Genomic DNA, 27,758 nt, shown 5'->3' with positions numbered 1-27,758 from the left:
TTGGACTCTAATAAATTCTTCTATGTGATCTTTATTTTATTGAGTGCAGTGGATAGCTTTGTGCCTGCAGCAGTAATACTCCGATTGCAATAAATCAAATTCACTTCACTTAGAATGCACCTGAGAAAAGTTAATCAAAAAAGCATAAAATCTTATTTTCTTTATAGTAAGTAAAATTTCAGATTGTGTTTAATATGATACTTAACAGGAAGAAGTCCAGTTGTTTACACTGATGAGGAGGAAAAGCTGTCTTTTTACCTTAATTAAATGTACCTGACCAATGTACAGCAGCGCTCCCCTTTCTAAGACAAACCAGACAATCTCCAATTAGAATGTGCCCAATTTCCACTTAACAATCATTTTCTGGAAGTTGAGTGTCCTTGTCGTAGATAGCATTCACACAGAACACCATCCTAACTTTCTCTTTGAATTGGAATCAAGTGCTGCTATCTGCTGATTGGAAACTAAAAGTGCATTTAGGGTGCTATTTCAAAAGTGTCCATTATTAACTGTCTCCTTAGAAAATAAAGCTTCTAAGTCAAGCATATTTTTAATTTTGCATAATGTAGTAAGTTTATCTTCATTGATTTGGGACTTTATAATGATTTTCCATTATAGAAATTCAGAATTATACAATTTAATGTGGTTTATGAAAATATCCAATTACCAACGTCCTGAGTGGCTGTTAAATGACAGGGGAAAGACAAGACAAATTCAATTCCAGGACCTACAAAAGCCCATCTGTGGATGGTGGATGTCTTAGTCTTTTCCATTTCAGTGCCTTTCATAATGCTTAGTATGCAGTAGGCACTCAAAAAATACATGTTCAGTGAATGAACAATCATACAGTGGGTAGCTTTGAATTTTTTCTCAGAGGGTCTAGGTGGCTCACACAAAAATGAGTGACATATGATGCAGGAGAACATGCAGGATTTTAATCAAACAGAAGAAAATGGAATAAGGAGAGAGATACAATTCAAAAAAATAAAAGATAGTTTGGAGGTGATAAAATGGCCATTGGTAAATCCACGGATTTGGTTTCACATAGACTTACAGCAGAGTGAATGATAAACAGTTGTACAATTTAACATGATGGAAATTTAAAATTTCTTGCATAGTAACTGGAGGTTCTTTCATATCCCCGTTAATACTAACTTCTTCTGAGTTTATGGACATTGCAAATAACATTAGCCAAAATACCCCAGAATCTTGGGGGTGGAAGAGTAAACTAGCTATATAATCACCTAGAATCGGAAGGAAAATGTTATAAACTAAAACGACCTTTCTTTCCTTCTATATGTTTATTTTTCTTTGATCAATGCCCAAGTAGCTGACTCCTCTTGCTATATATTTCCATTTCCTAAATAGACTTTAGTACAGCAATATCATTATCATCCCATTTCTTTTCTCCTATCTCACTCTATATGTTTGTTATATTTAGATTGTAAATTCCCCACAGGGTATGATGGTCTTGTGTTTACAGCCTTCTCTTCTACTTACCTTTTTGCATCAAGGGTCTCAATGTCAGTCAAGTATTAACTAAAACTGTTATTAATAAACTTTATTATTCAGATTTTTACCTTTTACTACAAAAACTGCACACTATCTGATACTGCTTGGATAACTACAGTCTAACACTGAAACACAGCTCCTTTTAAAAATATCATTTCTAGATCACTGCCCAGGAAATGTCTTGGAGTGTAAGTATACACTGAGTATGGTGTACTGCTCTGAACTGGAAACTGTAGGTTCCAGATGCCAGTTATCAACACTACTCTGCTCCTAAAGTTCCCCTATCCCCTGCTCCTTTTCCTTCCCCTGCTGCCTTCTGGTCCTTGCATCCTTGCTGCTGCTGAGCCTGTTCCCCTAGGACCGACTCTGCTACAACCAGATACAGGGTCAGCCTCCACTCTGAGTTTGGCCAACCTCCTTCCTAGTACCATTGTTTTGGGTTCACCATCACGATACCATCCCACTCCATTCTACTAGTTAGAAAGAACACAGAGCTTGGCATGATGCAACAACCTGTAGCCGTAGTGGTTGCTAAAGCAATGACAGTTGGCTTGTCTCAGGGTAACAGCAAGTCTTATTTTGGTTTGAGTCAGGCCCTGGAGTGGCAAAACAACTGGAGACATGTTGAAGCCATCATCCTTGGCTGGTTCAAACTACATCTTAGAGAACAGAAGGAGTTTTAGAAAGAACTGTATATGAAACTTAGCCAATTATATTTTCACAATTGTTTGATTCTATATTAAAAAAAATCAAAGCACTTACTATTTCAAATTTTTGTTTTAGAAGCAACCTCGCTCTGTCACCCAGGCTGGAGTGCAGCAGCACAATCATAGCTCACTGCAGCCTGGAACGCCTAGGTTCAAGAAATTCTATCACACCTCAGCCTCTGGAGTAGTTGGGATTATAGGCGTGAGCCACCATGCTTGGCTATTTTGGATTTTAATTTTGGACTCAAAATGTAAGCATGTTGATGTTAGTCTTTGGCTGGTTTAAAACATTCCTTTGAAGACAATATGCCTGAGAGCTAATTTAGACACAAACTGTTTCTAAAGGCTTACTCTTTTATATTTCCACCCTTATATAATCATACCACTGTAGAGAAAGATCCCAGGAATAAGACCCCAAAGCATGCTACAAAAGTGGCATGATAGAGAAACTACCACTGTTTAATGGGTGCAAGGTTTCCTTTTAGGGTGATAAAAATGTTTTGGAACTAGACAGAGGTGGTGATTGCACATTGTGGATGTACTGAATGACACTGAATTACACTTTAAAATGGTTAGTTGTAGGTCATGTGAACTTCAACATGAAAAAGGTTTTTTTTTTTTTTTAAAAAAAAAAGGAAAGAAAAAATAAACTACCACCATTCTCTCTGCTACCACAGAGCACTAAAATCTAGGAATTTGACTTTACTGCAGCCATTAACACCAGCACTGATGCCACTTCTGTATCAGGAACTTAACCTGACAACCATGAAAGGTCCTCTGAAAGCCAGATGATACATATGGCAAAACTCATGACAGCATATGGACAACTGCACAGAACTTGTGCTTCATGTTGCTGAGTGCAGATGTTTCTAATTACCGAAGTTACTGTCTGCCTCCTAGCAGCAAAAGAGACTTGAGGAAGTAAGGTTCATAACATGGAGGTTCACTAAAGTATAGAAAGGCCATTCAAAAGGTTGTGGGCTTCCACAAAAATGGTAAGTATTCATTACATCCTCCTAGCCTTCTGTGGATGCCAAGAGTTTGATTAAGTTCTAAGAGAGAGGAGATCTTCTTTACCTTCCAGAGGATGCAGGCAAATTGGCTTTGCTAAAGCACCCAATGTCTGCTTATGATCACTATACTCTCATCAATACTTCCCAGGTCTCCAGAATTAGGACAGTCATTTGTTGTTAAATTAGCTGTATATTTCTCCCAGCGATCATATTCTCATGAAGCCTGATCAACGACTGACCCATTTGGTCATAGGACTATGCTATCCAAGAGAGGACCCAGTGATGCCACCACTGAAGGTATCTATGAAATTAAATGGTTTTATGTCTATAATAGTACAGAGTTTTATGGTCACGCAAAGTATGTATAAAATCTGGCTCATGGAGTTTGGGAAGAATAGTGATTGGACTGCAGAAATTATAGCATCTATCAGGTTTGGGGGAGGGGGAGTTGTGGGGGTAGTAGTTAGTGAATATCAGCACGCTGACCTTTTCAAACAGGTGGTAAATGTCTTTCCACAGATCCTGCCCCTATGTTGGTCAGAGAGAAGCAAAGTAGGTGAATTATTTTCCAATAATTAATATTAGCATAAATGGGGCAAACATGAAAATGAAAATCTAAAGAAACCCACTCAGCACAGCTTTCATGAGCTCAGTGCCGACTCAAGATTTACAGAGAGGCTGAGCACGGTGGTTCATGCCTGCTATCCCAACACTTTGGGAGGCCAAGGCAGGAGGATCACTTGAGCTCAGGAGTTCGAGACCAGCCTGGCCAACACGGTGAAACCCCGTCTCTACTAAAAATACAAAAATTAGCTGGGCATGGTGGCAGGCACCTGTAGTCCCAGCTACTTGGAGGCTGAGGCAGGAGAATCACTTGAACCCAGGAAGCAGACGCTGCACTGAGCTGAGATCACACCACTACACTCTGGCCTGGGCAAAAGAGCAAGACTCTGCTTCCAAAAAAAAAAAAAAAAAAAAAAAATTACAGTGTAGACCAAACCTGGACAGTCTAGTTAGCTCCACTCACATATCTTTAAGCTCAGAGGCTCTTGAACGCCTATGTGTCCCACCCAGAGGCCTCCAGTGTCCTTGACTGTTCATAGTGGAATAGAAGGAGGCATTATGGTATTTGGTTCTATCTCTTGTGCCTCCTGTTGACTGGATCCTCACTTAGAAATAAAAGACTGACACAACCCAATGGATGGGCTGGGGTAAGATGCCAAGGAGAGTAATATAGGTGTGTCACTAACTAAATGGGCCAACCAAGCCCTGTGCCTCCTTCTTAAAATGGGGAGTCTATAGAGGGAAAAGTTTTCTCTGAGAGCCTCAGGAATGTTAAGCCTGGCATCTACAAATGTATCTTTGGGGCTGAGATCTTGAATCTTATACTTGCTTAATAAGCCATTTACTGCCTGCCATTTGGAAGATAAGAAAGAAAAGGGCATCAGAGATCAATGCCCCTAATGATAGTTGGATAAGAACATACCCAATATAAAGCTCCAAAATAATCTCGAAACTAGAAAAGTAGTCTGGCCACATCATATTGTGGCACAAAACAGTAACACTCAAGCAGCCCTGGACTGGGCCAGTGAAATTTTACTGCTGACCCTTCCAAGTCTAAATGGAGAGGGCTAGACAAGAGGGCAAAGTCAAGTTCATGGTGTTGCCATTGGACATACTGCCATTTACTCAATTATGGACACCACATCAAAGACCAAGTGAATAAGGTGGAACTATGTTACTTAGCTATCTCTAGTCCTCAGTAAAACTCCAGAGGCCATGATTTTTCTGAACTGGAGATTCAAACGTGAAATGTATTAGCAATGAACATTGGAGAGGAAAAACGTTTTTTTAAAAAAATTTGTAAGTTAAAAAAAAAGCAAATACTTAGATTTAAGTCTAACAAAATATGCGCGGAATCTGTAAGCTGAAAACTACAAAGTAACAATGAAAGAAATCAAAGGCAATCTATGTAAAGGAAGATATATGCTATGTCTGGCCAGGTACGGTGACTCACGCTTATAAATCCCAGCACTTTGGGAGGCCAAGGCAGGTGGATCCCTTGAGGTGGCGACACCCTGTCTCTGCTAAAAATACGAAAATTAGTCAGGCATGATGGCGCTCGCCTGTAATCCCAGCTACTGGGGAGGCTGAGGCAGGAGAATTGCTTCAACTCAGGAGGCAGAGGTTGCAGTGAGCCAAGATCATGCTACTAAACTCCAGCCTGGGTAATCTCAGAGCAAGACTCTGTCCTCACCCCCCGCCAAAAAAGATATACGCCATGTTCATAAATTGAAAAGCTATTGTTAAATTCTCCTCAAATTGGTCTAGAAATTTAACACATCACAATCCAAATCTCAGAATTTTTTTAGATATTGATGTTAATATCCTTGCCCATCAGTAGTGACAGAAGCATCGATCTTACCAGCCAAATATAAATGGACTCTCCTTTGTTAAACCCTCAGCAGTCACCCATACAGGACATTCATGTATTAGATTATGTGAAATGACTATAGTCATCCGCTAAATTAATGCAGAACATTAATAATGAAGTTTTATCAGGGCCTTCCATTCACAGGCATAAGAGGTCTTATCAACTGACTTTGATGTTACCTGCCTGGATCTAACCCTGGAGACTAGATCCACATCGACATTCACCAGAGAAAATCACTTGGACCTTGCTCTTTAAGGGGCCACACTAAGTCCTATCTACCCCCCACCACTGCTATAAAGTGCCAGAGCTTTCGGTCTTGGGTCCATGCTTCCCACTGCCAGAGACTTCACTTATTGCCTGCAGCAGACAACATTAGTGAAGCTCTCATTAACCACTCAAGTTTGCTGTCGTCTTCCATGACCTTCCCCATGAAATGGATACAAAGATAAGCATTACACATGGGTATCACTTCCTTGCATTAGCCAATTATCAGGATTTCCACTAGTTATATGTTCACTGGGTAAGATCCTTAAAATTCAGATGTCACAAAGATTAACTAATGGGTTTTCGATCTCGAGGTCATGGACACATCCACCAAGTACCCTGTATATCAGGAATAGATCCTTCTTATCTTTTTTAAGTACTCTAAGAATCAGATTACCAGATCTGTCTTGCCATTTGCTCTGTAACTGGTCTCGTCTTTCCAGCTGGCCCTTTGGGCTGCTAAAAGCAGTTTATCTCACAACCTTTAGTCCTTTGCTACTCAAAGTATGGCTCACAGACCAGCAGCATTAATATCACCAGGAAACTTGTTAGAAATGCAGAATCTCAGGCCCCACTCCAGATCTGCTGAACCAGTCTGCATTTGCTCAAGATCTCCAGGTGATTCGCATCAGGAGCATTGCTTACAAAGATTTAACCTTACTTTCCATTGGTTAAGTGAGTCCTTATCAAGCCAACCCTGATCCAAGAGTAACAATCAAGTTCAGCTGTGCACCACAGCAAATGAGGCATCACCTGATGGTTCTTAATGGGTGGTTGTTCCTATTTGTTGCTTTTGTTGGTCACTGAGAGTTGGTTTTAAGATTAAAGGGACCTTTTTCTCCAAAGGAAGATTTGCCACACCAAAGCAGGAAAGGCAATGGTTTACCAAACAAAAAAACCCTAGGCCCTTTTATAAGTCTAATGTTTACCCAAACACAGAAACATAAGATGTTTCTTTCCTCTATGCTCCAAAATATTAGGTCAGAGTTAGAAAGGAGAATCCATAGGCAGGTAACTTTTTGTTAACACCTTGCAAATGGTGATACTTGCAACGCCTGGCAAATGGTGACGCCTTGGACGTATTACTCAACAAATTTTCCATGGCAGGCCCATGGATCCAACCTCATAGACAATTCCAGTATGTCTGTCTTACATCTGACACTATACGAGGTTTATTGTAACATCCACTAATGGCTTATATAAGTGAGTTAAGCACTTTTAATTACAACTATCCCCCAAAGAAACTGAATTTCCTGTTTCTGTTGATGTGATCATATAGTTTTTCTCCTTTAATCTGTAGAGAGGTAAATTACATATTTTTATTAAAACATCCTCCTGTTCCTGGGAAAGATTCTCCTTTTGCTCATGATACAATATTTTATGCACTGCTACATTCAATGTGCCAATATTTCATCAGCAATTTTTCCATCTATGTTCATAAACAAGATTGGTCTATTAATATTTCACAGTCTTTGCTCAAGTGTAGCTTTGAGATTTTACTAACTTTCTGAAATGGGTTGGGTAGCTTTCTCTCATTTCAAAGTTTCTATAAGACAGGAATTATCAGTTTCTTGATGTTTTGGTAACATTCATCTTTCAAAAATTGTCTTTTGGCGAGGTGGACTTGTGATTACTGATTCCACTTCCTTAGTGGTTGATTTAAATTGTCAAAATCTTAGATGGATCTTCTACTGTTTTCCTAGAAATATATCCATTTCTTCTCCACTTACAAAATTTTTATCATAAAGTTAATGGTATTCTTATGATTATTTTAAATCTCTATTGGTAGTTATGTCCTTTAAAAAAAAATCTAAATACTGTTTATTTGGGCCTTTTCCTTTCCTGACTGGAGGTTTATCTGAAGGGTCCCTTCTGCTGCAGCCTGCAAAGCCTCCATCAAGGGACACCCACTAGCTGGTTGCTGCCACAGCTGTGGCTTTACCTACCCCAGCTAACCCAGCGAGTATTAGTCCATCCCCACACTGCTATAAAGAACTGCCTGAGACGGGGTAATTTATAATAAAAAGGATTGACTCACAGTTCCGCAAGGCTGCAGAAGCCTCCAGAAACTCACAATCATGGTGGAAGGCACCTCTTCACAGGGCAGCAGGAAGAATGAATGCAGGAGGAACTACCAAATACTTATAAAACCATCAGATCTCATGGGAACTATCACGAGAACAGCATGGGAGAAACCAACCCCATGATCCAATTACTTTCATCTGGTCTCTCCCTTAACATGTTGAGATTATAATTCAAGATGAGATTTGTGCGGTGGGGACAGAAAGCCTAACCATTATCAGTATGTTTGCTTGTTTACTTCTATTTTAAACTTTAAAATAAACCCGTAACTTTAGCAGTGCTGTTTTGCTACTCCTCTTAAATTCTCTCATTTTCTTGTGTATTTCATCCTTTTGCTAGTTTTGCACTGGTTACTACTCAGTTTCTTTGTTGTACTGAGTCATTTAAGTATCATTTTGAGAATGGAAAAAAATGTTATTAAGTTCATTATTCCTTATGTATTTACTGAGCATACAATTGTTATAGAAGGCAGAAAGAATTTAGGTAGACAGGGTAAAGCGAGTCCCCGGCAGAAAACTTTTCTTTTAACAAACAGCAGCTCAAATATAGCTCTTTTTGACCTCATGCAGTTAACCCCAGTAAAACAGTGGCCCTTAATAAGCACATTCCTTTCCCTTTAGGGGCACTAAGATAAGGAAGCTAAAAGCAGACCGGGGGGATGCCTGCAGCTGCAAGATGTATGGGAACAGACAGAGAAACTCTCCCTTCCAGATAAGCTGGACGAAGACAACATAGAATAAGAGTCTAAGAGCCTATGTGGTCAAGGAATGGGATAAGAGCTGATAAAAAGCTATGCTCTGTACAGATAGCACACCTGGTCCCAACTAAAGCGTCCTCGGACCCTAGGAGGATAAGATATCCCCTCCTCATGAGCCCCCTCCTCACTAGCCCATTTATAAAAACCCTGACATTTTTACTACAACTTGGCAACCTGCTCGGAACCCCTCTCTGTAACAGAGCTGTTTCCTTTTGCCTATTAAACTCCTGCTCCAAACTGTGTGTGTCTGCGACCTCGATCTCCTTGGCCATGAGACCAAGAACCTTGGTATTTACCCCAGACAATGAGGCTGCTTCACAATTACAGGTGCCTACTACATACTGGCCATTATGGAGATACTGAGAGTAAAGAGATGAAAAGAAATAGTTCATATTAAACCAGATATGTTTATGCTGTAATACAGACATATTTTTCTCTGTCCCATCCTATTTTATAGTTATATAATCATATGGGCTCCATTTCTGGAGTACAGTTTTGGACAAATAATTTCATACCATACTGTATTTTCATGCAATACTGTAACTGTAGAACTCTATATTAAGTATTTTCATGTAGTACTATAACTGTCACATTCTGAATTCCATAATGAGAGACATCTAAGTACAAAACCATGGCAAGAATACTGTGGCTTTTTATATTTGAGTCAAACTTAAAAATGTCCTGGCCTCATAAACTGTTTCCAAAAAAAACCTTCTCAGCATTTTTAACTTATAAGTAGATGGCAACATTTTAATCAAAACAACAAAATTTCTGATATTATCTGTGACAAATGCAGGAAATGTACTTCCACTCTCAAAAAATAACCCTTGAATGAACACAACTCTCACGTGGAAGTTTATTTTACTGGGGTGAAACTCTGTATTTTTGCTAAATAATTGCTAATTTAACAAAGTAAAAGACAGCTGTCACAATTCCCAATATAAACAACAGCTTTTCCAAGTCAACCAAAAAGAGTAGAGTTTTGCACCAAAAACTGACAATCTTGTCTTTTGCTATTAAAAACCTATGGTTAGCAATTGCTAAAGAACTGTGGAGACTCTAGAAAGAGGGGGGTGGTACATATGTTCAATTCTTTTTTCCAAACATGTCAATAGAACAGAAGGTACAGTAGTTTATGAATGCCAGAACTAAGCAAACTAGTGGTTTGCTTTTTTTAACATGCAAAAAATTCTTCACACAGTATTAATTATATTATTTTTCAAGTGCATTGGGTTTGACTGTAAGAAAATTAATTATTGGGACCAGAAATTAATAAGACATGATTAAAAGTTCCTCCAGCAAAAGTCATGTTTGCAAACTACCTAACTCAACCCTGATTACCCATATGTAGAAACTTCACACTTACATCACAATTAAAGACATAAACTGAAATTAGTTGGCTGATTTTTGGCTTCCTCTGATTAGTCATTCACAGAGCAACAGTGGGACCTTAAAACTAACAGTTTTCCCAGCTATTTACCTCTGGAGTTCTGTTACGGAACTTGTTGGCTTCAACAATGAAGGGAAATTGTGCTGCCTATATCCCATCAATTAAAAATAGGATAGGAATTTATTTTTGACTATAGTAGTTCTGCCATTCAATTGGTACAAGCAGAGGGTAATGCTGGTTAAATTAAGACTTTTTTTTTTTTTTTTTACAGTTATACTGTGGAAAGTTATTCAAATTTCAAATTTATTTACAGTGTTTGAAAAGCACACAACAGAAGATCTTCATTTATGCAACAAGTCAATCATTTGCAGTATGTATGGAAAATAAAAATCTAAGGTAAGTCAAACATACAAACTCTACCTCTTGCTTTCTCCATTAGAATATACACATTGGAAATCTAAGTTCCAAACAGTTCCTCTCTACTGAAGATAGTGAAATTTAGTGCAAGCCCCCTAATTACCAATTTTTTGGATGCTTACAAAATGTTGAGCCTTGATGGTGGAAGAGGATTCTATTTAAAAGAGATGACTATATTTTTAAAAGGCTAAATTGACTCAGTTTATTTTCAAAAGAAGGGTTGATCCATGTTTTCAGTTTATTGCCATACAGAAAACATTTTATAAAATAATATGGTAGACTTCTACTTCAACATATTCACGTAAAAACATCACAGTGCAAGAAAGTGATCACAATTAAGCATGAAGACATCAAAAGCCAGCCAGTATTTTAACTACAGAGCAGAATATTCTTGCTGTCCCTTCCTAGAAAATGTTGGCACATTCATTAACTGCTCAGGTTACAAAAATCACTTCGTGTCCACTTCCTGTCCTTCAATATATTTTCATAACTACACTGTGTTACATTAATGCTGGTGGACAAATTAGCTCCTATAAAATCTAAAAACCTTTCAGGTGGCACAATGATTTAAAACCAACTAGGAAAAAGCTCTCCCAGAATATTTTTGTATGTAATATTCTGTCCATTACCACAATAACAGAGTAAAAAGCTGTTTTACCTTAAAAATAAGCTAAAGGAAGATAATTTCATTTTTCCTTTAAAACATTTCTTAGCTTTTAAATAGAGAGAAAAAGTTTAAATTTTCTTGGGGGAGGAGAATATTTCATAAGTAAAAACATCAAATGTTGTACAAATGTTTCATTTAGGAAACAAATACTTAGATTCAAAGGATTCTAAAACATTTCAACATTATAAGAAAACTGTAATTTAAAGCTAAAAAATTGTAATACATCGAACTAATATAAATTACTCATTAACATGTTCTATTGTTTTTCACAAAATCCATAATTAAGGAATAGTGGGTTAGGTGAGACATTTTTCCCAACATTTGGTCAGATTAGCTAAGCAGCTCTGGGCAAAGGATGCCTCCTCTGAATCAGGATCTTGGCCTCTTAAATGAGGGCACTGGACTAACTGCCCATTCACATCCCTCTAATCTACACATTTATCACAACTGTTCATCTTATATAATCCTTCCAAGGATGAAGTGTTTCAACTCAGTGTATTTTCCAGACAAAGCTCCCCTGTTTAAGTGGCAAAACTCTTCTTTAAACTTTAAAATTTTTACTTTAAAATGTTATTTCCAATATTATTTCCTGCCACCTTAGAAGATGTTGAGGGATAACTAACAACACAGTCTCTAAATGACACAGTCTCCTGGACTTGCCAGCTGATGACAGGATCTGCAGATACGTCTCAGGCTCTGCTCCAATTCTGAGCAACTCTGGGCCACACTGAGTGAGAAAGAGAATGATACCACCTACACTGTATCGCTTTGTTTCAAAGACCAATAGAGTTATAATATATCAAAGTATTTGTAAAGTACAAATTACCATACAAATGCCAAGGACTGCTGTAATAAACCTAAGCAAACTTTTCCCTGATAATGAAATCTGGATAGTTTTAGAAAATATATGTTGTTTGTCAAGACTTGTGCAATAGGCCATGTGTGGTGGCTCACGCCTGTAATCCCAGCACTTTCAGAGACTCAGGCAGGAGGATTTCTTGAGCTCAGGAGTTCAACACTAGCCTGGGAACATACTGAGACCTCATCTCCACAAGAAATCAAAAAATTAGCTGGGTGTGGTAGTGCACAACTGTAGTTCCAGCTATATGGGAGGCTGAGGTGGAAGGATTACTTGAGCCCAGAAGATTGAAGCTGCAGTGAGCCTTGACCATGCCACTGTACTCCATCCTGGGCAAAAGAGCGAGACCCTGTCTTGAAAAAAAAAAAAGAAAAAAGAAAAAAAGACACGTGCAATGATGGCTCTGATGCTTTGGTTACGTGGCATTTTGTTCTTCTGCTTCTAATTATGCTTCTAATTGCACCAGGTGTGGGATTCAGTTTCTGTCTCCTCGAGTCTATAAATCTGACTTTAAATAGGTGGAAACCAAAACCTACAGATGTTACTTTAGCAAATGCTGTGTCATCACTGTTTACTTTGAAAGAGTGGTTCCCAACCTAGGGTAGGCATCAGACTTACCTTGGAAGCATTTTAAAAAGTGAGATTTCTAGGCTCTAGCCCTAGGGATTCCGATTCAGTGTATCTGGAGTAGGATGCAGAAAAGCTCTATTTTTTTCCAAAAGCTTTCTAGGTAATCTCAACAAGCAATCAGTTCAGTTTTGGAGACATATTACTTTGCCCTCAATTTCTTCTCTATTTTAGTAGCTGCTAGTTTGTTTGTTTGTTTTCAGTATAAAAATTTCCCCTTGCATTAATCAGAAGTACACTTAGAAAAGATGGCCCATGATTTTGGCATAGATCCACAGAGAGCTAGTCATTACACTTCTTTACAATAAAATTTAAAAATGGTAAATTAACCTCAGAGCTAAGACAATGCATGTAGACGCCGAAGGGTGGCTGGTTCTGTGATTACAGGCCAACTGTTTTCTGCTTTACTTGTAGTCAAGTCACTGATAAACATGAAGACCATATTACAGCTGTCACTACCGAATAAAAGATGGCAGAACTCCTCCAAATAACAGGAAGATGGCTAACCAGCTAATCACTATCATTTAGAAAATGTTTCTAGCAAACATAAATGAAAGTATTTCTTAAAAAAAAAAAACTAGTTTCCTATAGAAACCCGAAGATTTCCACACTTCTGAAGTCTACCACAAAGTGAAAAGTTGCCCAAAACTACAGTTGTTTAAAAATATGTTCAATTAACTGTGAAAATATAAGTGTAAAATAGGTGCAATTTCATCCTTTAGGAGGTTTAACGGGCACAAATGGAATTCAGTTTCCATTTATTCTACTCAAATAGTTTTGTGAAAACGATAAATAAAGTACTTGGTATAATATAGTTCTGAACACCATACCTTCCAAATTTAATACAAAAGCCACATTTGGATTTTCCGATGTCCCAAGTGTGTCTAGGCACTGCGGAACGTCGTCATGTCTTTGGGTTCTCTGCTGGGGACGCACCAGTCATCAGCCTCGTGGTTGGTGTTGTAATGCTTCCAGGCAGCTTTGTTATACACTGGGAGTCTTTCTATTGAGTCTGTTGACAGAGCCTGAAAAAGAAAAACCTAAGACCTATTAAGTCTGGCATTTTTTAGAATTCATTATTTGAGAAAATAGACAATGGCAAAAAGGTTACGACAAATTAAATAATATTCTATTAGTATCTTATTAATCCTTATACCACCTAAATATACTTTTAAATGGTATGTATATTTGAAACGTGTTATTTATGAAATCTATGGCACTGACTGATGTGCAGGTTGACTGAGTTTGTTGCTTACAGTAATTCCCCAGCCATCCTGGAAGCTGCTGGACTGAAATTTTACACAAAACATGACCCAGATCAGAGTTGGCTAACTGAAGAAGTTGGTTAAATGTAAAAGCATACAAATCGATATATGTATCTTAATAGATGCACATAAATTTAATGAACTCTATTTTAATTATTTACTAGAAGAAATAGTGTTTTTTTCAGCATAGTCACTGTGCTTTAAAAAAAACTCATCACAAGCCAGGCACGGTGGCTTATGCCTATAATCCCAGTGCTTTGGGAGGCTTACACAGGAAGATTGCTTGAGCTCAGGAGTTGGAGACCAGCCTGGGCAACATAGCAAGATCCTGTCTCTACAAAAAATAAAAATATCAGCTGGACATGGTGGCACATGGGTGTAGTCCTAACTACTTGGGAGACTGAGAGAGGAGGATCACTTGAAGCCCAGGGGTTCAAGGCTGTAGTGAATTATGATTGTACCACTGCACTCCGGCCTGGCAACAAAGCAAGATATTGACTCTATAAATACATAAAAATTTAAAAACTCATTATAACATTATTAATAAATAGAAATCTATGTCTAAGGCATCTTAGCTTTTTCGTGAACATTTATTGGCCCTGGGTTTGAATCTGTGTCTTCTCCGGCCTCCAATTTCAGTCACTGTGCACAAGATTTCTGCATCATGCATGATTTCAGTTTTCCATATATTATTACCAGTAATTCTCCATTGTATTTCAGCTTCCTATAAGTCACTGGAACCTGAGATAAACTACATTTCTAGTTATCTTCTTCAAGTTAGGATTTTTCAGTAGTATTTCCATCCCAGGCCAAAGGCATTTCCTAAGATGCAGAACACCCTGAACAAGAAAATCTCATTCTGATAATGCTAAAGTCTTTGATGTTGACAATTTTAATGATTCTCTAAGACTTCTTATCTTCTATTTTCCCTAAGGTAGAACAAAAAACCTTTCACCTCCATATTTCTCTAAATATTCCAGAATTTCTTGATCTACAGGCTAGATCAAGCTTGTCCAATCCACAGCCCACAGGCTGCATGCGGCCCAGGATGGCTTTGAATGAAGCTCAACACATTTGTAAACTTTCTTAAAACATTATGAGATTTTTTTTTGTGCAATCTTTTTTAAGCTCATCAGCTATCATTAGTGTATTTTATGTGTGGCACAAGACAGCTGTTCTTCCACTGTGGCCCAGGGAAGCCATAAGATTGGACACTCCTGGGCTAGATCAAAATGTTACATTTTGTCATAAAAACATTGCACTAGGCCAGGTGTGGTGGCTCATGCCTGTAATCCCAGCACTTTGGGAGGCCAAGGCAAGCGGATCACCTGAGGTCAGGAGTTCGAGATCAGCCTAGCCAGCGTGGTCAAACCCCATCTCTACTAAAAATACAAAATTAGTCAGGCGCCTGTAATCCCAGCTATTCGGAAGGCTGAGGCAGGAGAACAGCTTGAACCCGGGAGGCGGAGGTTGCAGTGAGCCGAGATCATGCCATTGCACTCCAGCTTACGTGACACAGAGCAAGACTCCGTCTCAAAAAAAAAAAAAAAAGAAAAACATTGCATTGATGTTGCCCTTTTCCCTCGCAATTGACATGGTTAAAAAAACAAAAAATACCATCTAGAAAGAATTTAGTCTTTTCAGATATTTTTTCCAATATAAATTCTTCAACATTTCCTATAAAATAGATGCCATCTAGTGGCCAGAACAAGAAACTAGAGTCACTAAATCAGGCATAAACAGCCACCAGTTAGCCGAAGAAGGGGAATGATGGAACCTAGTGTTTTTCCACCATGTAAAATGTGTGGAACCCTCCTTAATGCATTGAACACTCCAGGCAAGCAGACTAAGTGCTTCTGTGTCCATTAGGTAAGCTATATGCTTACCAAGAGTCACTTGTGCTTGTTCCCAAATCTGTTTGTACAATTCTGTCATGATAATTACAAAATTTATTACATAAGCAAAGAATAAAAAGGGGAATGTTTCCTTGAAAACTAAGATGAATGTTTTGGAAAGACTCATGAAGGAAAGTCACATAAAACTTGCTGTCAAATCAGTCAGGAGGTATCTGTAAAGGACTGCATAAAAGTCCAAAAAGAGTATGCACTTGTTGGTTTAAAGAAACTAAAATGATGCACTGTCAGTACAGCTTTTGCAAAAAAGACAATGTGACACTCCAATCTGCAGACCCATATACAAAAAAAAAGCCTTGGCAGTACATCAAAAGTTTGGCGTTATCAATGTCCATTCATGTGTTTTATGTTAAAATTAAACTTGTATGATATATAACTTATGATTCTCTACTTTAACCCAATTTTTTTCCTATTAATAGACAGAGTCCTAATCACTCCAGGATACAAATCTCTTTCCCCATAGTTTTAGGGGATCATCTATCAAAATGGGTGAGATCCCCAGCAAAAAACCATAGTTTTTTTCTATTTAAACAGCATGTGGTAGAGTTAAATTTCATTACAGTTAAGTATGGACATCTGTTCTTATCATCAAAAGAAATATTAAATCAAGAAGACTACAGCTATTACCTTAATGTAGATAACTGCATCTGTCCCGTAACCCTCTAGGGAATACAGCTTCAGGTCTCCTTGGAAGTATTGTGCGTAAAGACGTGATATGGGCAATCCATAACCAAAACCAGCCTGTTTGATGAGAAAAACAAAATTCTATTCAGAAAGACACACACTGAAATACTTTTCTAATTAAGATAGATGCCATTGAGTACCACGGGGCTATCAGAGCCCGCATCTGAGAGATGCATTATATTTAATATAATTAATATTTAAGCATTGACAATGATTAAGCTGAGGTTTACTTGAGTACTGTATCAGCTGACTTCCCTCTGGTCATTTAAAACTCTTTATTCTTTCTATAAAATGACTTGTGGTTGGTCTCGAAAAAGCATATTGCTTTTCCTTGCTGGCCTGCTCGGTCGTATTGTGTCTGGAATTGGTTCCTTCCAGTGGGTTCTTGGTCTGCGGACTTCTCCAGGAGAGGGGAGAAGAGCAGCATAAGCAGCTGGCAGAGGCAGGGAAAGACCAGCAGAAAGGAAAGAGAGAAAGAGACAGAAAGTCAGAGAGAGAGACAGAGGAAGAGAGAGACAAAGAGGGAGTCAGAGAGAAAGAAAGAAAGAGACAAAGTCAGAGACAGAGAGAGGAAGAGACAGGGACAAAGAGGGAGTCAGAGAGAGAGAGAAAGAGAGACACAAAAAGTCAGAGAGAGGAAGAGACAAAGAGGAGTCAGAAAGAGAGAGGCAAAGAAGTCAAAGAGAAAGAGAGATAGAAGTAGTAAAGAAAAAACAGTGTACCCTATTCCTTCAAAAGCCAGGGTAAATTTAAAACCTATAACTGATAATTGAAGGTCTTCTCTGTAACCCTATAACACTCCAATACCACCTTGTTGTCAGTGTAAACAAGGGCATAGCCCGGAAGCACTGAGACCACTGACAACCCGTAGCTTTCCTATCAAAAATCCTTAACCCAGCAGGTTTCCTAACAGGGGATCTAAATCTGAAGGTCCGACCAGACACAGGAGGAACTCCCTTCAGGACAGGACAATAGATGTTTCCTCCCAGGCGATTAAGGGAAAAAGACACAATGGGTACTCAGTAAGTAATAAGGAAACTATTGTAGAAGCAGAGTTAGGAAAATTGCCTAATAATTGGTCTGCTCAAATATGCGAGCTGTTTGCACTCAGCCAAACCTTAAAGTACTTACAGAATCAGGAAGGAGCCATCTATACCAATTTTAAGTTAATATGGACTGAACGAGGTCTTATTAATAGCAAGGAATAATTGAAATTCCAAACTTACAAGGTTTTCAACAAAAGTAAAGTTTGCTAAAAGTTAACAGTGTAACATTTATTATCTTAACTTCTAATCTTATGGAAATCAGACCCTATCAGTGCCCCTCAAAGCTCAAGTCCATCAGCGCAGGGCCATACAACTAATACCCCTACTTACAGAGTTAGAAATGGCCACTGCTACAGGAACCGGAACAGCCAGTTTATCTACTTCATTATCCTACTACCAAACACTCTCAAAGGATTTCTTAGACAGTTTGCAAGAAATAACGAAATCTATCCTTACTCTACAATCCCAAATAGACTCTTTGGCAGCAGTGACTCTCCAAAACCGCCAAGGCCTAAACCTCCTCACTGCTGAGAATGGAGGACTCTGCACCTTCTTAGGAGAAGAATGTTGTTTTTACACTAACCAGTCAGGGATAGTATGAGATGCCGCCCGGCGTTTACAGGAAAAGTCTTCCGAAATCAGACAACACCTTTCAAACTCTTATACCAACCTCTGGAGTTGGGCAACATGGCTTCTCCCCTTTCTAGGTCCTGTGACAGCCATCTTGCTATTACTCACCTTCGGACCCTGTATTTTTAACCTCCTTGTCAAATTTGTTTCCTCTAGAATCAAGGCCATCAAGCTATAGATGGTCTTACAAATGGAATCCCAAATGAACTCAACTAACAACTTCTATCAAGGACCCCTGGACTGACCCGCTGGCCCTTTCACTGGCCTAAAGAGTTCCCCTCTGGAGGACACTACAACTGCAGGGCCCCTTCTTTGCCCCTATCCAGCAAGAAGTAGCTACAGCGGTCATCGCCCAATTCCCAACAACAGTTGGGGTATACTGTTTAGAGGGGGGATGGAGAGGTGAAGCCAGTTGGGCTTCTGGGTCGGGTGGGGACTTGGAGAACTTTTCTGTCTAGCTAAAGGATTGTAAATGCACCAATCAGCACTCTGTGTCTAGCTAAAGGTTTGTAAACACACCAATCAGCACTCTGTAAAATGGACCAATCAGCAGGACATGGGTGGGGCCAAATAAGGGAATAAAAGCTGGCCACCCCAGCCAGCAGTGGCAACCCGCTCGGGTCCCCTTCCACACTGCGGAAACTTTGTTCTTTCACTCTTCACAATAAATCTTACTGCTGCTCACTCTTTGGGTCTGCACTATCTTTATGAGCCGTAACACTCACCACGAAGGTCTGCAGCTTCACTCCTGAAGTCAGCGAGACCATGAACCCACCAGGAGGAACAAACAACTCCAGACATGCCACCTTTAAGAGCTGTAACACTCACTGCGAAGGTCTGTGGCTTCACTCCTGAGGTCAAGCAAGACCACAAACCCACCGAAGAAAGAAACTCTGGACACATCTAAACATCTGAAGGAACAAACTCCAGACACACCATCTTTAAAAACTGTAACACTCACCATGAGGGTCCGCAGCTTCATTCTCAAAGTCAGCAAGACCAAGAACCTACCAGAAGAAACCAATTCCGGATATGGTATCTCAATACTGCTCTTGGCAATATCATATAAAATGTGTTATCTCTTTTAGGAGCAAGAGTAGAAAATGGCTTGTTGCAGCCTAATAGATATATCTCATGACTTAATATCATAAATTTCCAGCCACATTCTGAGCCTGGAGATATCTCTAATATAGATCTACTTTCTTAATTCTCACTGACGGGTCACTTTTCCACTTAAAAATCTTCAAAACATACCAGCACTCCCACCACCCCTACCCCACTGTCTTAGAAATCAAAACCTAAGCTTCTAAAAAGAGCTTTCTAGACCTGGTAAGATCAGGTCTCTGCCTCCCACTTTCCAGTCCAGCACAACTACACCTCTTGCTCTTAAGTTCCTTAAACATATCATTCCGTGTCTGTTCATTTTGGTCCCAGTATCCAGAATAGCCTCTTTATCTGGATAAATCCTACCAATTCCTTAATACAAAACAAAACATCTGGATAAATGGGAAAATGGTTTTTATTACCAAGTCATATGTTTGATGACATTCCATATAGCATGCTAACTATGAGCTTGTATGGACTCAAGAATCAGAGTGCTATTCACAAACCCAGGCTCCAGCTTTACCTAACTCCACCAACTATAACTTGACTTTTCTACCCAGAGTCTCTGTTTGCCCGTACAAATCAACTATTCCATTTCACACCTCCCTGCCCTGGGAGGCTAACCTGGATTGTCACTGGATTCCCATGCCCTCTGCTTACAGCATGTCTTGGAAAACCCAGCAGGAGTTCAGAGGAAGTCAAGGTGGGTATTTACTCCCCTGGTTCCTTCCCTGAGGTTGCCTTGGGCAGGCCGGGCCCCTGGAGAGTAAGCAGCTACTCTGCAGCTTTCCCTTCCTCTGGGTTCTGCTAACTTTGCCTTCTCCTCATCCCTCATGATCCAAGGTGGTGATAGCTTTGCTGCTGCTAGCCCTGGGTTCCTGTGCTATCTTTACCTACACCTATGTAATTAGTTTCTTTGTAAAAAGGCCTTCTTTCATAATTTGAGTGAGCTACCTCTTTCCTGTTGTGACTCTGAGCGATACATTAACTGGTCTTAGAAGTGGCCCGAAGAAAACTGTATGAGCAGGTGGTTCAGGCTCCCATGATACCTGACCTACTTTACCACGTGCTCTCTCTTGACCATACTTATGGGCTGACTCATAGGGCTTCCCCTATAACCAGTTAACAGGGAAGAAAAACAACATGGGCCTAGTCCACTGGTGGATCTACCCCATGTGCTATCACCATCTGAAAGTAAGCTGCCGTTTTCCTACTACAATCCCTCTCAAGGTTGGAGGGCAGGCCTGAAAGACAGCAGTGAAAGTAAACCCTTCCAGCATGGGCAGTGGCAAAACAAGTGGCTGGCTTGTTAAGGACTTGGAAAGAACAAAACTGAGTGAAGGATGAGAAGGAGGTCTGGAACAGAGATGTGTGGATGTTCCTCTCCGGACTTACAGTGTGAAGATAGCCTATCCATGCAAAGACCCACAAGAAGGTATCCACAGGGAGGAAGCCCTCCGTAACCAGGTAGACAAGAAAGCCACTCCTGTGGGCATCAGCTGGCCTTTCTCCAGCTACCCTACTGCCTGCTGACTGGGACCATCTACAAAGCGATGTCAGCAGAAAGGAGGCTCTGCAAGAAATTAGTAACAGTCTTAGCCTTGTTAAGGGCATGTAGATGTATGGAGGAGCCTGTTCCAGGTCAAGCCTCCTATTTTCTTAAAAATTCACATACATTTTACATCCTAAAATAACACACACTTACATGGCATTTACCATGAGCCAGGCACCATAAAGAGCATTTTTACATGTATCAACTCACTTAATTCTCACAATAACTCCATTTTTCTAAGTGGGGAATCTGTGGCATCCAGAGGTCAATAATTTTCCCAAGGCTGCACATCTAAGATGCAGCAGTATCAGAAACAGAACCAAAGAGTTTAGATCCAGAGTCTGGACTAGCTCACTATGCCGCTCTCCATAAAAATTCTACAATATTCGTTTACTACAAAAACAGCAGCTCCCTTCTATCCCTCTACTTTTTAGGATAAAACTAGACTTGTAAAAAGATGCTCATGTTTATCATTTGACATTGTCTGTCTGCCCCTTGACATATGGATGCCAACTCCTGGAGGGCATGTATCTGAATTGGAGAAGGACATTACTAGAGCAAGCATTTCAACTATAGTACAGCTGCAGCCATAGCATTTGTGCTATGCATCAGGCAAAACTGAGAGGTGAAACCAGCTGGACTGGGCTTCTGGGTCGGGTGGGGACTTGGAGAACTTTTCTGTCTAGCTAAAGGATCGTAAACATACCAATCAGCACTCTGTGTCTAGCTAAAGGATTGTAAATGCACCAATTGGCGCTCTTCGTCTAGCTAATCGGGTGGGGACTTGGAGAACTTTTGTATCTAGCTAAAGGATTGTAAATGCACCAATCAGCACTCTGTGTCTAGCTAGCTAAAGGTTTGTAAACACACCAATCAGCACTCTGTAAAAACACACCAATCAGCTCTCTGTAAAATGGACCAATCAGCTCTCTATAAAATAGACCAATCAGCAGGATGTGGGTGGGGCCAGATAAGTGAATAAAAGCAGGCCCCCACAGCCAGCAGCGGCAAGCCACTCTGGTACCCTTCCAGGCTGTAGAAGCTTTGTTCTTTTGCTCTTCACAATAAATCTTGCTGCTGCTCACTCTTTGGGTCCACACTACCTTTATGAGCTGTAACACTCACCGCGAAGGTCTGCAGCTTCACTCCTGAAGCCACCGAGACCACGAACCCACCCAGAAGAACAAACAACTCTGGACGTGCCACCTTTATGAGCTGCAACACTCACCACAAAGGTCTGCAGCTTCACTCCTGAAGCCAGCAAGACCACGAACCCACTGAGAGGAACAAACAACTCCAGACGCCCTGCCTTTATGAGCTGTAACACTCTCCGTGAAGGTCTGCAGCTTCACTCCTGAAGCCAGCAAAACCAGGAACTCACCGGGAGGAAGAAACTCCAGACACATCTGAACATCTGAAGTAACTCTGGATACACCATCTTTAAGAACTGTAACACTGCGAGGGTCCGCAGCTTCATTCTTGAAGTCAGCAAGACCAAAAACCCACCAATTCCGGACACAAAACTATCAGAATAAAGTCCTAGTAACTTCCTAGGAAGGGGTCTAAAATAGATCTATCTTGTACTATACCCCCATCATGTTACAGCATAACTCTACTGGAAATGTCAGAGAAGTTTCCAAGCCTAGAAGAATAGAGTTCTTCTAGAATTACAGACAAAATTTTGGCAACATACTTTTTGTGGGGGAGTTAGAACATAAAGATAAGGATGGAGTCAATTCAAAAGTTGATCCTATTAAACCTGAAAATAGGTGGAACTAAGATTAACAAAACACCATCAAAGCAATTATAATTTAAGCCTTCAGGTTGGTGATTGAACAGATTAGAATTTTAGTCTTATTTTTCAGTCTAGGATATGAGATCATTCTAATGACAAGTACTTGAGAAAAAAGTCAACACTAAAAAGTAATTCAGTGTTGACCAAACACTACTAAAACCAGTAATTTATTCCCCACATTAGAAATAATGTGGTTAACCATATTTCAAAATGTGGTTTTACACAGGAAAACTACTGCTATATCACGATCAAACTTTGTAACAAGAACTCCAAATCTCTGTCTCGTGCCCATTTCAGTTGGAAAAAAAAAAAAGTATTCTGAAGGCTGTTTAAATTTAGGGGAAAGTGTGCATTTCTAAGAGCTTCTTTCTTCCTTGTGGAGTACCCTACATGACGGCTTAACTTACTTATTTGGCAGCTACAGCATGTGGAAGGCAATTCACAGAAACACACTTCATTATTTCTTGATAACATACCAGAGGCACTGCGCGGGAGGTCTCAACACGAGGTCTTGGTGCAGTTGAATACATGTAGTTGAAAAGTCTGTCAATTTTCCTCAAAGGAACGCCACCTCCTCGGTCACTCATCTAAGGTAAGAAAAGGATCGTGCTCTATGCCCAAATCCTCAAAACAGCAAAATATCAACACATACTCATAGCATCACAGTTTAACTGCTGGTGGGAGAGCGCTTTTTTTTTTTTTTTTTGAGACAGAGTCTCGCTTTGTCGCCCAGGCTGGAGTGCAGTGGTGCGACCTCAGCTCACTGCAACCTCTGCTTCCCGGGTTCATGCCATTCTCCTGCCTCAGCCTCCCGAGTAACTGGGACTACAGGCGCCTGCCACCATGCCCGGCTAATTTTTTTTAGTAGAGGCAGGGTTTCACCATGTTAGCCAGAATGGTCTCGTTCTCCTGACCTCATGATCTGCCTGTCTTGGCCTCCCAAAGTGCTGGGATTATAGGCATGAGCCACCGCACCCAGCCTGAGTGCTGCTTTTGAAAATGAATACAACACAATCCAAGTTGCCAATATAAGCATTTCCCTCGCTGTTGAACCCAACCCAACTCCTCTAATATGTGAAACTCTAATACATAAACTCCATCATAATACTGCTGTGGCTTTGTATATTTCCGGGAGTCTCATTAACAGTGCATTATAGCACAGAACTGGGCACAAGTTAACCCTATCTTGTATGTAACTATAAATCTGTTACTCCTTTCTGGTGGGCAGCATGGTGACTAGAAGCAAATTAAACATGCACACCTGTAATCCCAGCACTTTGGAAGGCAGAGATGGGTGAATCACTTGAGGTCAGGAGTTCAAGACCAGTTTGGCCCACACAGCGAAACCCCATCTCTACTAAAAATATAACAATTAGCCAGGTGTGGTGGCACATGCCTGTAGTCCCAGCTACTTGGGAGGCTGAGGCAGAACAATTGCTTGAACCCAGGAGATGGAGGTCACAGTGAGCCAAGATCGTACCACTGCACTCCAGCGTGGGTGACAGAGCAAGACTCCTTCTCAAAAAAAAAAAAAAAAAAAAAAAAAAATTAAAAATGCATGTACTAGGCTGGGCATGGTGATTCACGCTTGTGATCTCAACACTTTGGGTGACTGAGACAAGAGAATCACTTGAAGCCAGGAGTTTGAGATCAGCCTGCACAACAGAGTAAGACCCCATCGCTACAAAAAATTTTCTAAAATTAGCTGGGCATGGTGGCATACAACTGTGATCCCAGCTACTTGGGAGGCTGAGGAAGGAGTATCACTTGAGCCCAGGAGGTGGAGGCTATAGTGAGGTATGATGGCACCACTGTACTCCAGCCTGAGTGACAGAGGGAGCCACTGTCTCTAAATTAAGAAAACAAAAACAAACAAAAAAAGAAAAGCATATATTGGGTGGGTCTGGTGGCTCACACATATAATCCCAACACTTTGGGAGGCCATAACAGGGGGATCACTTGGGCCCAGCAGTTCCAGACCAGCCTGGGCAGTATAGTGAGACTCCGTTTGTACAAAAAAAAAAAAAAAAAAAACTTTAAAATTACCCAGATGTGGTAGTGCATGCCTGTAATCCCCAACTACTTGGGAGGCTGAGGCAGGAGGATCACTTCAGCCCAGGAGTTCGAGGCTGTAGTGAGCTATGATCTCACCACTGTACTCCAACCTGGGTGACAGAATAAAACCCTGCCTCTATTTAAAAAAAAAAAAAAAAAAAAAAGCATGTACCTTTCACACAACAATGTCACTTCCAGAAATTTATCCTGAGAAAATAAGCAGAAAAGCATGCAAAGTATATATGAGAACATCCATCACAGCTCTATGCAGAATACCTAAAAGTAAACAACCTAAATAGGGGATTAGTTAAGTAAAAGAAAGTACATTCTAAAATAGAATATTGTTAACCATTAATTAGATATTATATAGAACTCCATATACTGGCATAAGAGATAGTTAAGCAGCAAAAAAAACCAACCAACAAACAAAAAAAAAACAGTTACAAAGAAGCATTTATAATACTCTGCAAAAATTCTATTATAAAAAGGTCTGAAATGATATCTAATTTTATTGTCTGTAGAATGAGTAATTTTCTCTTCTTGTTTGGGGTTTTCAGTTTCTGAATTTTCTTCACAATTACTTTAACAGGAAAAAAACAGTATAATTTTCATTTTCAGGGAGAAAAAGACAGAACCACTACTTTGTATTTCCATCTACCAGCAATTTTACAGCCTAGAACCCCAGAAAACTTTCTGATATGTTCGTAAGGCATGTAGGTCTTTACATTTTCATATCATTTTTCAACTCAAACAGTATGGCAAATCAAATTTAGTAATTTATTTACATACAATTTTTCTTTTCCTTCAAAGTTAACATGGACTTATTTTCCTAGCTACTATCCAGCTTATATTCTAATCTACTACAGCCATTTTCCTTTGTCACAGAATCTGAATTGATTTTACTGCCTATAACAATATAGTTGTCATACACAAACAAATCTGCTTTTAATTTATGTATATATAGATTAAAATAGTACTGAATAATATGTATTAAAAGTCAATAGGCTGAATGGCTTATAGTTGAGTTTTTATATATTTAAAAATTGTTACAGTATATATATATTACCTTTATAATGGTAATTATGTAGATATTTTGATTTTTATAACTAAAAAAATCTGCCTTGAAATACCATTGAAAGATGTGCCTCGAATACATCTAAAATTAAGTAATTACACTATCAATAATAAAGTATACAAGGACTTTATTAGGAACTTGTGGCTGGGTGTGGTGGCTTACACCTATAAACCCAGCACTTTGGGAGGCAAGGCCGGCGAATCACTTGAGGTCAGCAGTTCGAGACCAGCCTGGCCAACATGGCAAAACCCTGTCTCTACTAAAAATACAAAAATTAGTCAGGCGTCATGGTGCACGCCTGTAATCTCAGCTACTCGGGAGGCTGAGGCACAAGAATCTCTTGAATCCAGGAGGAGGTTGCAGTGAGCCAAGGTTGTACCACTGCACTCTAGCCTGGGTGACAGAGCGAGACTCTGCTCAGTAAAAAAAAAAAAAAAAAAAAAAAAAAAAAAACCAGAAAACTTTTATGCAGCATTATGCTTGAAATTGCTCTTGGCCCTGTAAAGTAATTTATTTTAGTAAGATGAATAAAGAGCTCTGGGTATTTTGAGAAATCCATCAATTTGTTAATTACTCATCCTTTAATTCAATGCTCTGCTGCACATTTGCTAGTTAACATGAATAGGAAGTATGTGTATTCTATAAATACATGAAGGGAGTAAAGAACATATTAGAATAGATACTAAGATAAAAAGGTAGACTTGAGTAAATATTTCCTGGTTTTCCTTAACCTTTTGGCCACGGAGACTGTAACAACAACCTAGCAAGTACAAAATAAGAAGTCATTTCCAGCCTCAGGCTGCATGGGAAAATAAGAGGGGATAAGCAGACAGGACAGAGAGGATGTGAGAAGCATCATGTTGCTAGAGGTAAAGGGCAAACTAAGCCACAGGAATAGAGTTAGAAACTACAGTCAAAGTAGTACTTTGCTTTGCAGCCAACAATACAATAAACTGGAGCCAGTGGATTTTAAAGTAGGCAAAAGAGTTTCCAAAAGAGCAGTAATAGATTATTGGAGGATCCAAGTTCTTCAGGAAAAGGGAGGGAGGGAATAATGGAGAGACAGATATTTAGTCTGTATATATTCAAGGCAAGAAGAATGGTACCTTTGATGACAAATGTATTGAAAGAGAGATGTGAAAACTAACACGAAACCTTATTAAGATAATGAGATAAGTAATGTCAACAGGAAGGCCAAGGAAGAGAAGTTTGCCAATTATTTTTAAAGTTTTCTCTTCAGTGCACAAAAGCACCACTTGTCAATGTCATCTAACCAAGAGCTGCCATCCCTAACTTCCTATTCCCAGTAACACTAGGCTCCCTAGGTTAATTCATGTGAACTCTAGGCCCAGATGAAATGAACCACTACTGACTAGATGACAGCTCTAAAGCCAGGACATTCCCTGTATTCACCCAGAGTTCCTAAAGTTTCTTAGCCAACAGCGTTTTCACTGTTAAGTCTGTAAAATCATCAACAGTAAATGAACCAAGACATTTAAGTTTTAATTTAAATGACATGTAGGCCAGGCGCTGTGGCTCATACCTGTAATCCCAGCACTTTGGGAGTCTGAGGTGGTCAGATCACTTGAGGTCAGGAGTTCCAAGACCAGCCTGGCCAACATGGTGAAACTCTGTCTCTACTAAAAATACAAAAATTAGTCAGGTATGGTGGTGCGTGCCTGTAATCCCCACTACTCGGGAGGCTGAGACAGGAGAATTGCTTGAACCCGGGAAAGAGAGGTCATGGTGAGCTGAGATTCTGCCACTGCATTCCAGCCTGGGTAACAGAATAACACTCCATCTATAAAAAAACACACACACACAAAAAAAAGACATGTGGCTATAACACATAGGTTATTTATAGATTATATACTAAACACAGAATTGAAAGAGCAGCTAGGGCTGTAAGA

The 27,758-nt window shown here is 39.7% G+C and overlaps 1 protein-coding gene across 34 annotated transcripts in view, besides 1 other annotated feature; it reads right to left on the bottom strand.

Annotated features, from left to right (window-relative positions):
• PDK1 (pyruvate dehydrogenase kinase 1) overlaps positions 1-27,758 on the bottom strand; it is a 168,940-nt gene that overhangs the window by 114,730 nt on the left and 26,452 nt on the right. For 22 of the 34 annotated variants that reach the window (NR_103731.1, XR_007076395.1, XR_007076402.1 and 19 more), the window contains 3 exons: positions 23,195-23,305; positions 16,535-16,648; positions 13,560-13,754 (listed from right to left, as the gene is read on the bottom strand). Coding sequence is in view for 8 of the 34 variants with exons in the window: in XM_011511343.3 (XP_011509645.1) it covers positions 13,614-13,754; positions 16,535-16,648; positions 23,195-23,305 (366 nt within the window). In the remaining 26 variants the exon portion in view is untranslated. Of the gene's footprint in view, positions 1-913; positions 13,755-16,534; positions 16,649-23,194; positions 23,306-27,758 lie in introns of those variants that run through there. The other 12 variants (XM_011511343.3, XM_011511345.4, NM_001278549.2 and 9 more) reach the window with 3 other exon arrangements.
• Positions 17,438-17,645: a silencer, noted in NCBI's record as "fragment chr2:173456666-173456873 (GRCh37/hg19 assembly coordinates)". NCBI's record gives its function as "represses an EF-1alpha promoter that drives an FKBP-Casp9 reporter gene in an ReSE screen in K562 erythroleukemia cells {active_cell/tissue: K562}" and the evidence as "EXISTENCE:reporter gene assay evidence [ECO:0000049][PMID:32094911]".

Source organism: Homo sapiens, chromosome 2, assembly GCF_000001405.40.
Source record: "Homo sapiens chromosome 2, GRCh38.p14 Primary Assembly".
Classification (NCBI taxonomy): Eukaryota; Metazoa; Chordata; class Mammalia; order Primates; family Hominidae; genus Homo; species Homo sapiens.
Note: the sequence above shows the minus strand (reverse complement) of the source record. Positions and strands in the feature narration are given on the sequence as shown.